We start from the raw sequence: 17,168 nt of genomic DNA, 5'->3' as shown, positions 1-17,168 counted from the left end.
GAGTAATTGCAGCCTCAACCTCATGCTCAATCAAACCCCCACCTCAGACTCCTGACTAGCTGGGACTACAGGTGCATGCCACCGTGTCCAGCTAATTTTTGTATTTTTTTTTTTTTGTAGATATGGGGTTTTGCCATGTTGCCTTGACGTCCTGGGCTCAAGCAATCCACCCACCTTGGCCTCCCAAGGTGTTGGGATGACAGGTGTGAGCCACTGCACCTGGCCAAGTTTCAGTCTTCTTGCTGATGGAGGGTCTTATGTTAATGTAAGGTGGTGGTTGCTGAGCGTTGGGGTGGCTGTGGCAATTTCTTAAAATAAGACAACGTTGAAGGTTGCTGTGTCAATTGACTCTCCCTTTCACAAAAGAATTAACTGTAGCATACGATGATAGCTTTTTACCCACAGTAGAACTTTCAAAATTGGATTCAATGCTGTCAAACCTTCGTACTGCTGTACCAACTAAGTTTATGTATTATTGTAAATCACTGGGTTCAATCTTGTCAAGCCTTCCTTCTGCTGTACCAAGTTTATTCTAAATCTGTTGTCATCTCAATATTGTTTACACTGTCTTCACCACGAGTAGATTTCATCTCAAGAAACCACTTTCTTTGCTCATCCGTGGGAGCAACTCATCCTCTCACGTTTTCTCCAGAGGCTGCTGCAGTCTCACCAGATCTTCAGGCTCTTTCTAGTGCTCTTGTTACTTCCACCATATCTGCAGTTACTTCCTCCACAGAAGTCGTGAACCCCTGTGTCATTTGTGAGGGTTGGAATAATCTTCCCAACTTCTCTCTCTCTCTCTCTTTTTTTTTTTTTTTTTTGAGATGAAGTCTTGCCTGGGCTGGAGTGCAGTGATGCGATCTCAGCTCACTGCAACCTCCACCTCCCGTGTTCAAGCAATTTTCCTGCCTCAGCCTCCCAAGTGTTTGGGATTACAGTCACCCCCGACCAGGCCCAGCTAATTTTTTTTGTGTTTTTAGTACAGACAGGATTTCACTATGTTGGCCAGGCTGGTCTCAAATTCCTGACCTCATGATCCACATGCCTTGGCCTCCCAAAGTGCTGGGATTACGGGCGTGAGCCACCAAGCCTGGCCCCAACTTCTCCTAATGTTGTTATTTTGATCTTCTTTTTTAAATCATGAATGTTCTCAATGGCATCTAGAATGGTGAATCCTTTCCAGTAGGTTTTCAATCATTTTGCCCAGATCCATCAAAGGAATCACTTTCTAGAGAAGCTATAGCTTTATGAAATATATTTTTTAAGTGATAAGACTTGAAAGTTGAAATTATTCTTTGATCCAAGAGCACCAGAATGAATGTTAGCTTAGTAGGCATGAAAACAATATTCAGCTCTTTATACATCTCTGTAAAAACCCTTGAATACCAGCGGCATTGTCAGTGAGTGGTAATACTTTGAAAGGAATCTTATTTCTTGAGCAGTAGTTGTCGACAGTGGGCTTAAGATATTCAGTAAACCATATTTGTAAACCGATAGTCTGACATCCAGGCTTTGTTCCCATTTGTAGAGTACAGGCAGAGCTGTGTTTTATCATAATTCTTCAGGGCCCTTGGATTTTCAGAATAGTAAATCATCATTGGTTTCAAGTTAACATCACCAATTGCATTAGGCCTTAACAAAAGAGTCAGCATGTCCTTTGAAGCCTTAAAGCCAGGCATCAACTCCTCTCTAGCTGGGAACATCCTGGATGGCATCTCCTTCTAGTAGAAGGCAGTTTTGTCTCCATTGCAAATCTGTTTAGTGTAGCCATCTTAATCAATTATCTTCTAGATAGCTTTCTGCAGCTTTTCCATCAGTACTTGCTGCTTTATCTTGCGCTTTTATGTTATGGAGATGACTTTTTTCCTTAAACCTCAAGAAACAAGCTCTTCTAGCTTCAGACTTTTCTTCTGCAGCTGCCTCACCTCTCTAAGTCTTCATAGAATTGAAGGGAGGCCGGGTGCGGTGGCTGTCACACCTGTAATCCTAGCACTTTGGGAGGCCGAGGCGGGCAGATCACCTGAGGTAGGGAGTTTGACACCAGTCTGACCAACGTGGAGAAACCCCGTCTCTACTAAAAATACAAAAAAATAGCCAGGCGTGGTGGCGCATGCCTGTAATCCCAGCTACTCGGGATGCTGAGGCAGGAGAATGGCTTGAACTTGGGAGGCAGAGGTTGTGATGAGCCAAGTTCACGCCATTGTACTCCAGCTTGGGCAAGAAGAATGAAACTCTGTCTCAAAAACAAAGAAAAAAAGTAAAAAGAGAGTTAGGCTTAGGCTTAATGGAATTTTTTTGTTTTTTTTTAATCTTCTATCTAGACCAATTAAACTTCCATCATAACAGCAGCAAGATTGTTTAGCTTTTTATCATTCATGTATTCACTGGAGTAGTACTTTAAATTTCTTTCCAGAACACTTCCTTTGCATTCACAACTTGGCTAAGTGTTGCATGAGGTCTAGCTACTGGCCTGTCTTGCTTACAGCATGCCTTCATCACTAAGCTTAATTTTTTCTTCCTTTTGGTTTAAAGTGACAGACATGCAACTCTTCTTTCACTTGAACATATAGAGGCTATTGTAGGGTTATTAATTGGCCACATTTTAATATTAATAAAAAGAAGCCTGAGAGAAAGAGAGAGAAAGAGAAATGGCCCATTGGTGGGGCAGTCAGAACAAACACATTTGTCAATTGTTTGCTGTCTTATCCTGGTGTGATTTGTGGTTCCCAAAACAATGACAACAGTAGCATTAAAGATCACTGATTACAGATCACTATAACAGATTCAATAATAAAAAGCTTAATATACTGTAAGAATGACCGAAATGTGACACAGAGACATGAAGTGAGCACGTGCTGTAGGAACAATGGTGCCAGTGAGACCTGCTTATTGCAGGGTGGCCACAAACCTTCAATATGTAAAATGCATGGTCACAAAACACAATAAAGCAAAGCGCAGTGAAACAAGATGTGTCTGTCTTTTGATAGACTCTGACAATCTCTATCTTTGAATTGGTACATTCATACCATTAGCATTCAAAGTGATTATTGATATCATTGGATTAATATCTACTATATTTGTCACTGTTTTCTATTCATTCTCCTCAGTCTCCATTCTTTTGTCTACCACTCTTTTTCTGCCTTTTGCAGTTTTCATTGATGATTTTAGATGACTACATTTTCCCTGTCTTTCTTAGCATGTACTTCTCTTTTTAAAACTTTTTTTAACTAGTTGCCACAGAATTTGCAATATACATTTACAACCAATTCAAGTCCACTTTCAAATAACACTATCCCACTATCCCACAAATAAGACTACCTGCTTAACAAACAAAACACCTAATTCCTCAGTAACATTTACAACAAATTCAAGTCCATTTTCAAATAAAACTACCCCACTATCCAACAAATAAGACTACCTGCTTAACAAAGAACACACCTAATTCCTCAATATACATTTACAACCAATTCAAGTCCACTTTCAGATAACACTATCCCACTTCACGGGTGACTACCTGCTTAACAAAGAAAACACCTGATTCCTCCCTCCCATCCTTCCATTCCATTCCTTGTATTATTGTTCCTTATTGCACTTGTGTATAAGCATACATAATCTATCTGTGTGTATTTATTATTATCTACAAACTTATTGGTCAGATCAATTATGAATAAATACATGTTTTTATTGTACCACAATTCCTCCCTCCCATCCTTCCATTCCATTCCTTGTATTAGTGTTACTCATTTAACTTGTGTATAAGCATACATAATCTATCTGTGTGTATTTGTTATTGTCTATGAACTTCTTGGTCAGATCAATTAAGAATAAATACATAGGTTTTTATTGTACCACAATTCTTTAATGGTCTTTTTTAAAAAATGTTGATCCAGGTTTCAGTTATATATCTTTTGTTTCCCTCTAAAGAATTTCATTTAACATTTCTTGCAAGACAGGTCTCCTGGCAACAAGTTTCTTGAATTTTTATTTTTCTGAGGAAGGCCTTAATTCTCCTTCACTTTTGAAGGTGGTTTCAGTGGGTACAGAAACTTAGGTTGGTGGGTTTTTTCTGTCAACATTTTGAATTTTTCATTTAATTGTCTTCTTGCTTTCACAGTTTCTGCAATGTTGAATGCAGTTCTTATCTTTGTGTCTCTGTAGGTAAGGTGTTTTCTGCCCCACCTCTGGTTTCTTTCAGAGTTTTCCTTTATCTTTTATTTCATATAGTTTGAAAATTATATGTCCAAGTGTAGGTTGCTGGCATTTATACTGCCTGGTGTTCTCTGAGCTTCCTGGATCTTTGGTTTGGTGTCTGACATTAATACTGGAAGTTCTCAGACATGGTTGTTGCAGAACTTTCTTCTATTTCTTCTCCTCCTGGTATTCTCATTACTCTGTTTCACCTTTTATAGTTGTCCCACAGTCTTGGATATCATCTTCTGTTATTTTCAGTGTTTCTTTTCTTTAGTTTTCGAAGTTTCTGATGATAAATCCTCAAGCTCAGAGATTCTTTACTCAGCTGAGTCCAGTCTACTAATAAGCCATCAGAGGTATTCTTCAGTTATTTACCACATTTTTTACCACTACATTATGTTGAAGTTTCTTACGATGTCTGTCTTTCTGATTACATTACCCATCTACACTTGAATGCTGTCTACTTCATTCATTAGACCCTTAGCATATTCTCCAGAGGTTTAAAAAAAATTCCAAAATCTTATCTTTGTCTGCTTCTGAAGCTTGCTCTGTTGACACAAATTGTATTTTTTTCTTTTTTTGGATTTTAGTATGCCTTGCAATTTTTTCCCTTTATTCTCATGCATGAAGCACCCACTAAAGGTGACTGCTGTTAGTATAGCTTTAGTAATGCTGTGATGAGGTGACAGGGCAGGTGATGCTCTCTTAGTCTCTTTACACTACTATAACAAAATACTTTAGACTGAGTAATTCATAAACAACAGAGATTATTGCTCACAGATCTGGAGGCTGGAAAGTCCAAGACTGAAGGGGCAGGATATTTAGTGTTTGGTGAAGGTCAAACATTCAGACACTCCCAACGACTATAGTGACAGCAGCAGTCTTCAGGAATCCTATGTGAGGGAAAAACATTCAGACCACAGCAGGAGTGCTCAGGAATCCTATGTGAGGGGACAAACATTCAGACCCCAGCAGTAGTGTTGTGGAATCCTATGTGAGGGGAAAACTTTCAAACCCTTGTAGCAGTGTTCTGCAATCCTATGTGAGGGGCAAAAATTCAGAACCTCGTAGCAGTGTTCTGGAATCCTATGTGAGGAACAATCAGACCACAGCAGGAATGTTCTGGAATCCTATGTGAGGGGCAAACATTCAGACCACAGCAGGAGTGTTCTGGAATCCTATGTGAGGGACAAACATTCAGACCACAGCAGGAGTGCTCTGTAATCCTATGTGAGGGACAAACATTTCAAAACCTTGTAGCAGTGTGCTGGAATGTTATGTCAGAGACAGACATTTAGACCCTCGCAGCAGTGTTCTAGAATCCCATCTGCGAGACAAACATTCAGACACTCGCAGCAGTGTTCTAGAATCCTATGTGAGGGACAGACGTTCAGACCCTAACAGCAGTGTTCTCGAGTCCTATGTGAGGTATAAACATTCAGACACCAGCAGAAGTGTTCTGGAATCCTATGTGAGGGACAAACATTCAGACCCTCGTAGCACTGTTCTGGAATCCTATGTTAGTGACAAACATTCAGACCACAGCAACAATGCTCAGGAATCCTATGTGAAGGACAAACATTCAGACCCTCGTAGCAGTGTTCTGGAATCTTATGTGAGGGACAAACATTCAAACCACAACAGCAGTGTTCTGGAATCCCACGTGAAGGACAAACTTTCAGACCACAGCAGTAGAGTTCTGGAATCCTATGTGAGGGACAAACTTTCAGACCAAAGCAGGAGTGTTCTTAAATCCTATATGAAGGACAAACATTCAGACCCCAGGAGCACTGTTCTGAAATCCTATGATAAGGGCAAACATTCAGACCCCAACATGAATGTTCTGGAATCCTATGTGAGGGACAAGCATTAAGACCATAGCAGGAGTATTCTGGAATCCTATGTGAGGGACAAACATTCAGACCCTTGTAGAAGTGTTCTGGAATCCTATGTGATTAAAAAACATTCAGACCCTCGTAGCAGTGTTCTGGAATCCTATGTGAGGGACAAACATTCAGACCCCAGAAGGAGTGTTCTGGAATCCTATGTAAAGGACAAACATTCAGACCCTCGTAGCAGTGTTCTGGAATCCTATGTGAGGGACAAACATTCAGACCCTCCCAGCAGTCTTCTGGAATTCTATGTGAGGGACAGACATTCAAACCCCAGCAGCAGTGTTCTGGAATCTGATGTGAAGGACAGACATTCAGACCCCAGCAGCAGTCTTCTGGAATCCTATGTGAGGGACAAACTTTCAGACACTCATAGCAGTGTTCTGGAATCTTATGTGAGGTACAAACATTCAGACCCTCATAGCAGTGTTCTGGAATACTATGTGAGGGACAACCATTCAGACCATGGCAGTTCTGAAATGCTATGTGAAGGACAAACATTCAGACCCTCGTAGCAGTGTTCTGGAATCCTATGTGAAGGACAGACATTTAGACCCTCGAAGCAGTGTTCTGCAGTCTTAAGTGAGGAACAAAAATTCAGACCCTCATAACAGTGTTCTGGAATCCTTTTTTGAGGGACAGACAATGAGACCCCAGCAGCTGTGGTCTGGAATCCCATGTGAGGGACAAACATTCACACCCCAGCAACAGTGTTCTGTAATCGTATGTGAGGGACAAGCATTCAAGACCCCAGCAGCAGTGTTCTGGAATCTTATGTGAGGGACAAACATTGAGACCCTCGTAACAGTGTTCTGGAATCCTACGTAAGACACAAACATTCGTACCACGGCAGAAGTGTTCCAGAATCTTATGTGAGGGACAACCATTCAGATCACAGCAGGAGTGTTCTGGAATCCTTTGTGAGGGACAACCATTCAGACCACAGCAGGAGTGTTCTGGAATCCTATGTGAGGGACAAATATTCAGACCCTCATAGCAGTGTTCTGGAATCCTTTGTGAGGGACAAACATTCAGACCCCAGCAGGAGGGTTCTGGAATCCTGTGTGAGGGACCAACATTCAGATCCTCGTAGCAGTGTTCTGGAATGCTATGTGAAAGACAACCATTCAGACTCTCATAACAATGTTCTGGAATCCTATGTCAGGGACATTCAGACCCCAGCGGCAGTGTTCTGGAATCCTATGTGACAGACAAACATTCAGACCACAGCAGGAGCGTTCTGGAATCCTATGTGATGGACAAACGTTCAGACCATAGCAGTAGTGTTCTGCAATCCAATGTGAGAGACAAACATTCAGAGCCCAGCAGCAGTGTTCAGGAATCCTATGTGAGGGACCAACAATCAGACACTCGTAGCAGTGTTCTGAAATCCTATGTGAGGGACAAACATTCAGAACCCAGCTGCAGTGTTCTGGAATCCTATGTGACAGAAAAACTTTCCAACCACAGCAGCAGTGTTCTGGAATCCTATGTGCGGTACAAACTTTCAGACCACAGCAGGAGAGTTCTGGAATCCTATGTGAGGGACAAACTTTCAGACCCCAGGAGCAGTGTTCTGAAATCCTATGTTAAGGGCAAGCATTTATATCCCAGTGTGAATGTTCTCGAATCCTAGGTAAGGGACAAACATTCAGACCACAGCAGGAGTGTTCTCGAATCCTATGTGAGGAACAAACATTCAGACCACAGAAGGAGTGTTCTGGAATACAATGTGAGGGACATTCAGACCCTCTTAGCAGTGTTCTGGAGTCCTATGTGATGAACAAACTTTCAGACCACAGCAGGAGTGTTCTGGAATCCTATGTGAGGGACAAACTTTCAGACCACAGCAATAGTGTTCTGGAATCCTATGTGAGGGCAAACATTCAGACCCACGTGGCAGTGTTCTGGAATCCTATGTGAGGGACAAATATTCAGACCACAGCAGGAGTGCTCTGGAATCCTATGTGAGGTACAAACATTCAGAACCTCGTAGCAGTGTCGTGAAATCTTATGTGAGGGAGAGACATTTAGACCCTCGCAGCAGTGTTCTGGTATCCCATGTGAGGGACAAACATTCAGACCCTCCCAGCCATGTTCTGGAACTCTATGTGAGGGAAAGACATTCAAAACCCAGCAGCAGTGTTCTGGAATCTGATTTGAGGGGCAGACATTCAGACCCCAGCAGCAGTGTTCTGGAATGCTATGTGAAGGACAAACATTCAGACCATGGGAGCAGTGTTCTAGAATCCTATGTGAAGGACAAACATTAAGACTCTCGTAGCAGTGTCCTGGAATCATATGTGAGGAACAACCATTCAGACACCAGTAGAAGTGTTCTGGAATCCTAGGTGTGGGAAAAACATTCAGAACCTAGTAGCAGTGTTCTGGAATCCTATGTGAGGGACACACATTCAGACCACGGCAACAGTGTTCTGGAATGGTATGTGAAGGACAAACATTCAGACCCTTGTAGCAGTGTTCCAGAATTCTATGTGAGGGACAAACATTCAGACCACAGCAGCAGTGTTCTGTAATCCTATGTGAGTGACAAACATTCAGACCCCAAGAGCAGTGTTCTGAAATCCTATGTTAAGGGAAACATTGAGACCCCAGCATGAATGTTCTGGAATCCTATGTGAGGGACAAACATTCAGACCACGGCAGGAGTATTCTGGAATCCTATGTGAGGAACAAACATTCGGACCACAGCAGGAGTGTTCTGGAATCCTATGTGAGGGATAAGCATTCAGACCCTCGTAGCAGTGTTCTGGAATCCTATGTGAGGGAGAAGCATTCAGAGCACAGCAGGAGTGTTCTGGAATCCTATGTTAGGGACAAACATTCAGAACCTCGTAACATTGTTAGGGAAACCTATGTGAGGGACAGACATTTAGACCCTCACAGCAGTGTTCTGGAATCCCATGTGAGGGTCAAACATTCAGATCTTCACAGCAGTGTTCTGGAATTCTATGTGAGTGACAAACTTCCAGACTCCAGCAGCAGTGTTCTGTATTCCTATGTGAAGGACAACATTCAGAATCCAGGAGCAGTGTTTTGAAATCATATGTTAGGGGCAAACATACAGACCCTAGCATCAATGTTCTAGAATCATGTGTGAGGGACAGACATTCTGACCCTCGCAGCAGTGTTCTGGAATCCTAGATGGGGGACAAACATTCAGACTCCAGCAGCAGGCTTCTGGAATCCTATGTGGGGGACAAACATTCAGACAATGGCAGCAGTGTTCTGGAATCCTATGTGAGGGACAAACACTCAGAGCCTTGTAGCAGTGTTCTGGAATCCTATGTGAGTGAGAGTGCCTGGAGCCTACCCAACATGACGCCCCCAAAGCCCTCACAGGGTCTGACCTCCCAGCAGGTACCTGCCTCTCCCTGAACCCCAACCGCCCACCCTGCCTGTTCCCTGGCCTACTTCATCCTGTGCAGCCCATAGACTGTGACTATCTCTGCAGCCACTCTGGCCCTTCCTTTACCTTTGTCCTGTCAGAATCTCTGAGCAGGATCTCCCAGGTCCATCCAAACACGTGCTTTGTCCACTTTTGACTAGGCCCTTGGGCATCACTAGGCTATCCCAGCTGTCCACAGGGTCTTCAATAATGCACATTGCACCTGGCTTATCCAAGCAGTGCTCCGCAGCCCACATTGACCAGGTCCCTGCTGACCAGACCCCACACATCAGGTCCTCCCTGATGACACCTTCACTGATTAGACCCTCATGACCAGGCCCCACTAACAAAGCCCCCACTGCCAGGCACACAATGACAAGGACTCCACCGACCAGGACCTTACTGACAAGGCCTCACGGACCAAGTCCTTACTGACAAGTCCTCACTGACTAGGTCATTATTGACAAGGCCTCACTGATCAGGTTCCACTGATCATGACCTCATTCCCTGGCCCCAAAGATGAGGCCCCACTGACCAGGCCTCCAGGGAACAGGTTGCCACTGATCAGGCCCCTAAAAACCAGGCCTAAGGTCACCAGATGCCCCTGACTGGGACCCTAGTGAGTAGACCCCAGTGAACTGGCACCAAATGCTGAGATCCCCGCTGACCAGGTCACCCTGTAGACCAGTGCTACAAAAGTCACCACTGACCGAGTCCTCTCTGACCAGGACACTACAGATTAGGTCCCGCTGACAAGGCTGCCCTGACCAGGGCCCCACTGACAAGGGCCTCACTGATGAGGACACGCCCACCAGGGTCTGCTGACTAGGTCCCATGTGCCCAGTCCTCCACTGAATAGCACCTCTTGACCTGGTCACCAGTGCCCCAGCCCATGCTGACCAGGCCAGCCCTAAGCCCCAGCTGACCAGGTCTCCACTGATCAAGCCCCACAGCCCAGGTTTGCACTGAGCAGACACCAAACAACTGGCAGCCAATAGGTCCCCACTCACCAAAACCCCCACTACTAGACGCCACTAATGAGACCCTCTCTAAGCAGACCCCTGCTGACCACGATCCCACTAAATAGTCCTCACTGACCTAGGCCCACTGACCAGGCCCACCCTGATCAGGCCCCTCCTAACCACACCGGAAATCCAAGCGGCAATGACATGTTTCATATGGCAAAAGTTGGAAAAAGACAGAGAGAGAAAAGAGGTTCCACAGCCTTTTAAACTACTAGATCTCATGAGAACTCACTCACTATCAGGAGGATGGCATTAAGGGCTTGGTGCTTTGCCATTTGTGAAGGATCCACTCCCACCCCTTTATGATTAAAGCTTTTTCCACCTAGGCCCCGACTCTAACATTAGGGAGTGTGCTTTCACATGAGCTTTGGAAAGGGCATAGAGAAAAACTGTATTATTCTGTCCCTGACCCCACAGATCTCATGTCCTTCTCACATTGCAAAATACAGTCATGCCTTGCCAGCAGTCTCCCAAAGTCTTAACTCATTTCAGCATTAACTCAAAGTTACAAAGTCCAAAGTCTCATCTGGGTCAAGGCTACATTCTCTTTTGCCTACGAGTCTCTGAAATAAAAAGCAAGTTCACTGCGTCTAAGGTACAATGATGGTACAGGCATTGTGTAAGCTTTCCATATGCAAAAGGGAGACATTTTCCAGAAACCTTCTTATTTTTATCTGAGGCCCCTCAGCCTGGCCTTCACTGTCCATGTTTTTGTCAGCATTCTTGTCACAGCCATTTAACCAGTCTCTAAGATGGTCCAAAAATGTTCTCATCTGTCTGTCTTCTTTGGAGCCCTCCAAACTCTTCCAACCTCTACCCATTACCCAGTTCCGAAGTTGCTTCCACATTTTCAGGTATCTTTATAGCAATGCTCCAGTCCTCATTTGTCATTTTTGGTAAGATTTATTTTGAAAAAGAGGTTTAATTGGCTCACGGTTCTGCAGAGTGGACAGGAAGCTTAGTGCTTCTGCTTCTGGGGGGCCTCAGAAATCTTTCAATCATTGTGCAAGGTAATGAAAGAGTGAATTGTCTCATATGGCAAGAGGAAATCATGGAGATTAGGGAGTGATATAGAGTTTTCAGTGGCCAGATCTCACGAGAATTCACTCATGATTGTGAGGAGAGTACCAAGGGGATAGTGCTGAACCACTCATGAGAAATTTGTCTTCATGATTCAATCACCTTATACCAGGATCCACCTCCAACATTAGGAAGCATAACTCAACATGAGATTTGGTGGAGACACATATTCGAATTGCCTCATCAGTCTTTGAGTATAAAGACATCCATAGCAGGCTTTATCCAGCCAGCTTCTTTGGGATTCTTTATAGGGTTTCAGGTCTATAGCACATCCACTAAAATATTCCTACTTCAAAAGGCAATAAAGTAAGTGGTATTATCATTCTTCAAAAAGTTATAATGGTAGTGTAGGCATTCATAGTATGATTTAGTTCATTTGCTACTGTTTCTATTCTATCACCATATTAACACTTTCCTACACAGTTCTATATTCAGCTGGGTTTCAGTTGAGCACAAAGTCATCCTTGTACTACCACCGATAGCTGGCACTAGCTCTTTGATACTGTTATCATTCTGCTGTAGAAAGTACCTGTGAACTGGAAAAAGTCCACAATAAAATAGCTAGTCATTCAACACTATCAAATTTTAGGTGACTTTTTGAAAAAATAGTATCTCTTGTTGCAAGAAATGGTCCATCTGTGATTTCAAGTCTCTCACTTGAGTGAATTGGATGGAAGTGGTGAATTTCAGCCAAAGTGGCCAAAGAAATCCCATTCCTGTGATGATGATGCCATCAGCCTCTGCACCTCTGTCTTCCCTTCTGCCACCTGTTGCCTGTTCTCCGTGACTTTGGTAAGAGCTTCCTTGTGTATGAGGATGATGTCCAGGATGTTGGTCTGGTGTCCCTGAGACAGCAATAACAAGTCCATGGCTGGGTCCAGGTCCTTCCTGGACTCATTGGCAAAGAGCTTACTGATGTTCTTGAAGGCATCTCTGGTGAAGTGGATGGCCTAGTCAAGTTCCAAGGCCTGGCTGAGGCTGAAGAAAAACTGGCCACCTTCTGATGCTCTTTCCAAAAGCCTGTCACTGTCATCTGCTTGCTTGTCAACACATTGGCTGTAAGGATGAGCTGAGTGGCCTGTGTCCATCTTCTTGGGGAAGCATTTGAAGCCATCAGTCTTGCTCTCCCACCCCTAAAGGTTGATGGTCACCACCTGGGGGTGTGCTGAGGGTTGGAAAGAAGCCCGCACTCACTATCTCATCCTTCTCAGCCTTCCTCTTGCACTCTCTCCAGGCTGTCGCTTCAGTGTTGGTGGGATACGTCAGAAAGCGATGGAAGATGTGGCACTGTGCCCACACCCAGAAGCTGGCCATTGGTTGGCTCATCCACCAGAATGGATGCTCTGGGTGCTCTTTAAGCCAACTTGGCCTTGCCTGACATGCACGGCCCCAGGTTCTGACATGTTGCTCCGAGTGAGCTTGTCCTGCCTTGGGCCAAATTCTGTCAGGCCAGGGCCACAAAAGGCCGAGTCCCACGGGTGGTAATCCTGGCTGCTTTCTGCACTTCCACATAAAGACCTCCTGAAGATGGCCTGTGGTCTACCTCTTTGCAACCAAGAAGCCCACAGTGCCATATGAACCCTTAGGCATGGACTGGAGCCCCTGAGGAAGCACACACCCTGTTCCTGAGCCTGCTGCTCATTTTCTCTGTGTGGCTCCATTTGTGTCACAGTTGTTGCACAGAATTATGCATGCCGGGCAAGGCCAAGCTGGCTCAAAAAGCAACCGGCCACCTCTGCAAGGTTGTGCCAGGAGCCGGTGGACCGGCCACCAACCTCACTTGCTGCCGGTCAGCTTACATCAGTTCTTCTACCCTAGAGGTAGGGCCCCAGTGCCATATGCTTTTCCTCAGGCCTCTGCTCTATCAGTCATCAGGTGGCAACCACTTAGGCTGTGGGAACCTGGTCATCCCTCCTTCCTTGAGTAGCTGAGGTTGCTGGCTTGTCTGCCTGCTACAGGTGCAGCCTTGCAGATGTGGCTAGTTGCTCTGAGCCAGCTTGGCCTTGCCTGGCATGCATAGGCCCCAGGTACTGACACTCTGCTCCGAGTCAGCTTGTCCTGCCTTGGGTCAAATTCTAAGTCTGGCCAGGGCCACAGAAGGCCCAGTCCCCTGGGTGCTAATCTTGGCTGCTTTCTGCACTTGAACATAAAGTCCTCCTCAAGAAAGCCTGTGGTCTGCCTGTTGGCGACCAAGAAACCTACAGTGCCATATGAGCCCTGAGGCATGGACTGGAGCCACAAAGGCAGTGCACGCCCCGTTCCTGAGCCTGCTGATCATTTCCTCAATATGGCTCCATTTGTAGCACACTTGTTGCAGCGAGGCTTGTGCTTGCCCAGCAAGGCCAAGCTGGCTCAAAGAGCAAGCAGCCACCTCTGCAAGGGTGTGCCAGGAGCAGATGGACCAGCCGCCAACCTCACTCACTGCCAGACGTGGTACAACAGTTCTTCTACCCTAAAGGTGGGGCCAAGAGGCAGACCACAGGCCATCTTGAGGAGGACTTTATGTTCAATGCAGAAAGCAGGCAGGATTACCACCCTGGGGACTCACCCTTCTGTGGCTTACAGTGCCATATGAGCCCTGAGGCATGGACTGGTGCCATCTGCTTTATACAAAAATTATCTTAAGATGGATTAAAGAGTTAAATATGCCATCTGCTTTTCCTCAGGCCTCTGCTCCATCAGCCATCAGGAGGCAGCCATTCAGGCTGTGGAAACCTGGCCATCCTGGCTTCTTTCAGTGGGTGAGGTTGGTGGCTGGTCTACCTGCTCCAGGCACACCCTTGCAGAGGTGGCTACTTGCTCTTTGAGCCAGCTTGGCCTTGCCTCGCATGCAGAGGCCCCACCTACTGACACACTGCTCGGAGTGACCTTGTCCTGCCTTGGGACAAATTCTGTCAGGCCAGGACCACAGAAGACCGAGTCCCCTGGGTGGTAAGGTGGTAATCCTGGCTGCTTTCTGCACTTGTACATAAAGTCTTCCTCAAGATGGCCTGTGGTCTGCCTCTTGGCAACAAAGAAGCCTGCAGTGCCATAGGAGCCCTGAGGCATGCACTGGAGCCCCAAAGGCAGTGCACACCCTGCTCCTGAGCCTCCTGCTCCTTTCCTATATATGGCTCCATTTGTAGCACGGTTGTTGCACCGAGGCTTGTGCATGCCAGGCAAGGCCAAGCTGGCTCAAAGAGCAACCAGCCACCTCTGCAAGGGTGTGCCAGGAACAGGTGGGCCAATCACCAACCTCACATGCTGCCAGTCACAGTACATCAGTTCTTCTGCCCTAGATTTAGGGCCCCAGTGCCATCTGCTTTTCCTCAGGACTTTGCTCCATCAGCCATCAGGTGGCAGCTACTCATGCTGTTGGAACCTGGCCATCTGGGCTTCCTTGAGTGGGTGAGGTTGCTGGCTTGTCTGCCTGCTTAAAGGTACTATGGGGATAGAACACTGAAATAATAATAATGCATTTTTCAAACAAATTAATTCCTTGATTTTCAAACAAATTGAAGACAAAGGAAACTCATGATTCAAATGAATACATATGGCTCATTTTATTCAATATTTATGCTTACAGAATATATGCAAATAAGACATTCCCATGATTAATATTAGTATTTAAGACTGATAAACTTTTGAGTGGGCAGTTAAAGCTTATCTTCTACTATTTTCTAACTTCAGAAATGCTTTTGTTTGAAAGCTGGGTGACAAAGTTTCAAGGAGATTCAGTCCCAATATTCCTATTTTAAATCTCTCAGCTTGTGCAGGCAGGGCAGGTAAACATGAAGTTTTTAAGGATAGAAGGGGCCTGAGAGATAGCAGAATATGTCTGCTACATAACAGGTACTCAGGTTATGTTTGATGAATAAATGGAATGAAAGAATGGATAAATACAGTTGGGGAGTTCAATATTTTTAAATAAACTCCTATAAAGCAATATTTTTGCAATAGTAGTATTTAAATGTTATTTTTAAGAATACAATTAAAATGAAATGATTAATCTATCATTGTTTGCATAAATTGAATGAATACATAAGAAAAACATATGTACGTAATAAAATATATAGATAATAAAATCTGGAAACAGATAAAAATATTCCCTTTTTACTTCTGAAGAGGCTAAAAGTTCAAAGAAGATAACAATACACTCAATGATAAAAAATAGAAAGTGAGAAATTATTTTTAATATTGTAAGATTCATATTCCTGTCTTCCCAAGGATTATTCCTTTATTAATAAACTTTACTAGAAGTTTTGTACATGCTCACTGCAGCAATCACAGATAAGAAAAAGGAAAAGAACTTTACTTAAAATACAAATGCTCAGAAATTACAAATTTTATATTTTGTACATATTTTTTGATAAAACAAGACCATAGTATGTTTGTATGTACAATTTAATTGATCTTTTTCTCACTAGCTATAACAAAATACATCTTTGCACATCAATATACTTCTGTATCTATTGCCACCTTCAATGGTCACATATTATTCCATCCTGTGGATGCAACTGAAGTTTATTTATAGGATCCATTCTTTGGGTTCTTTTTAAAATAAGTGAGGTGAAAAATAAAGTGCATGTATCTTTATTTCCTAAGGGTGCTTTAGTGTAATGGAATTGATGGGTAAAGGGCATACGTATTTTTTAATTGTAGTATTTACCACCAAATTATCTATTTGAAAAGTAATCAGCAACTTAAACTTTAACCAGGAGTATAAAACATCCTCACAAATATTGTGGATAGAAAACTGTTTCATTCCTCTTTTATTTAAATTCTTATACCAGAAATGCGAAGGACTTTTTCTTATGTACACAAGTAACTTGCAGATCTGGAAAAGTGTACTTTGCCCAATTTTAGAGTGTTTGATGATTTGATTTGAAAGAATTCCCTGTCAAATGAAAATGTACTTTTCATCTAATGTGTGTATATAACTGATATATATGACAGATTATATCTGGTATATATGTATACGTATCAGTAATATATATATATATAAAACTTATGATATATAATAAACAACATAGGCCGGGCGCGGTGGCTCACACCTGTAATCCCAGCATTTTGGGAGGTGGAGGCGGGCAGATCACTTGAGGTCAGGAGTTCGAGATCAGCCTGGCCAACGTGGTGAAACCCCCTCTCTACTAAATATACAAAAATTAGCCAGGCACGCTGGCACCTGCCTGTAATCCAAGCTACTTGGGAAGCTGAGGTAGGAGAATTGCTTGAACCGAGCAGGCAGAGGTTGCAGTGAGCCCAGATTGTGCCATTGGACACCAGCCTGGGCAAAGAAGCGAGACTCCGACTCAAAAAAAAAAAAAAAGAATATAATGAATTCCCTATAAAATGAAAACATACTTTTCATCTGAAAATATACATACATATATATATATATATATATATATATATATATATATATATATATATATATTACATACATATATATATATAATATAGTAAATATTTTTCAGGTAAGCTCTCTTATCTGAGAACTTTTTGCCTACTGAAATAACTCACGGTATTTTTGATAGGGGAATGAGTTCTCTCATTAGGTACCTCCTATAATGTATATAAACCATGTTTTCA

General features: G+C 43.6%; 1 pseudogene; it reads right to left on the bottom strand.

Annotated features, from left to right (window-relative positions):
• On the bottom strand, positions 11,978 to 12,624 carry SNX18P1Y (sorting nexin 18 pseudogene 1, Y-linked; annotated as a pseudogene).

Source organism: Homo sapiens, chromosome Y (genome assembly GCF_000001405.40).
Source record: "Homo sapiens chromosome Y, GRCh38.p14 Primary Assembly".
In the NCBI taxonomy this organism is placed as follows: Eukaryota; Metazoa; Chordata; class Mammalia; order Primates; family Hominidae; genus Homo; species Homo sapiens.
This window is presented reverse-complemented; position numbering and strand designations above follow the sequence as displayed.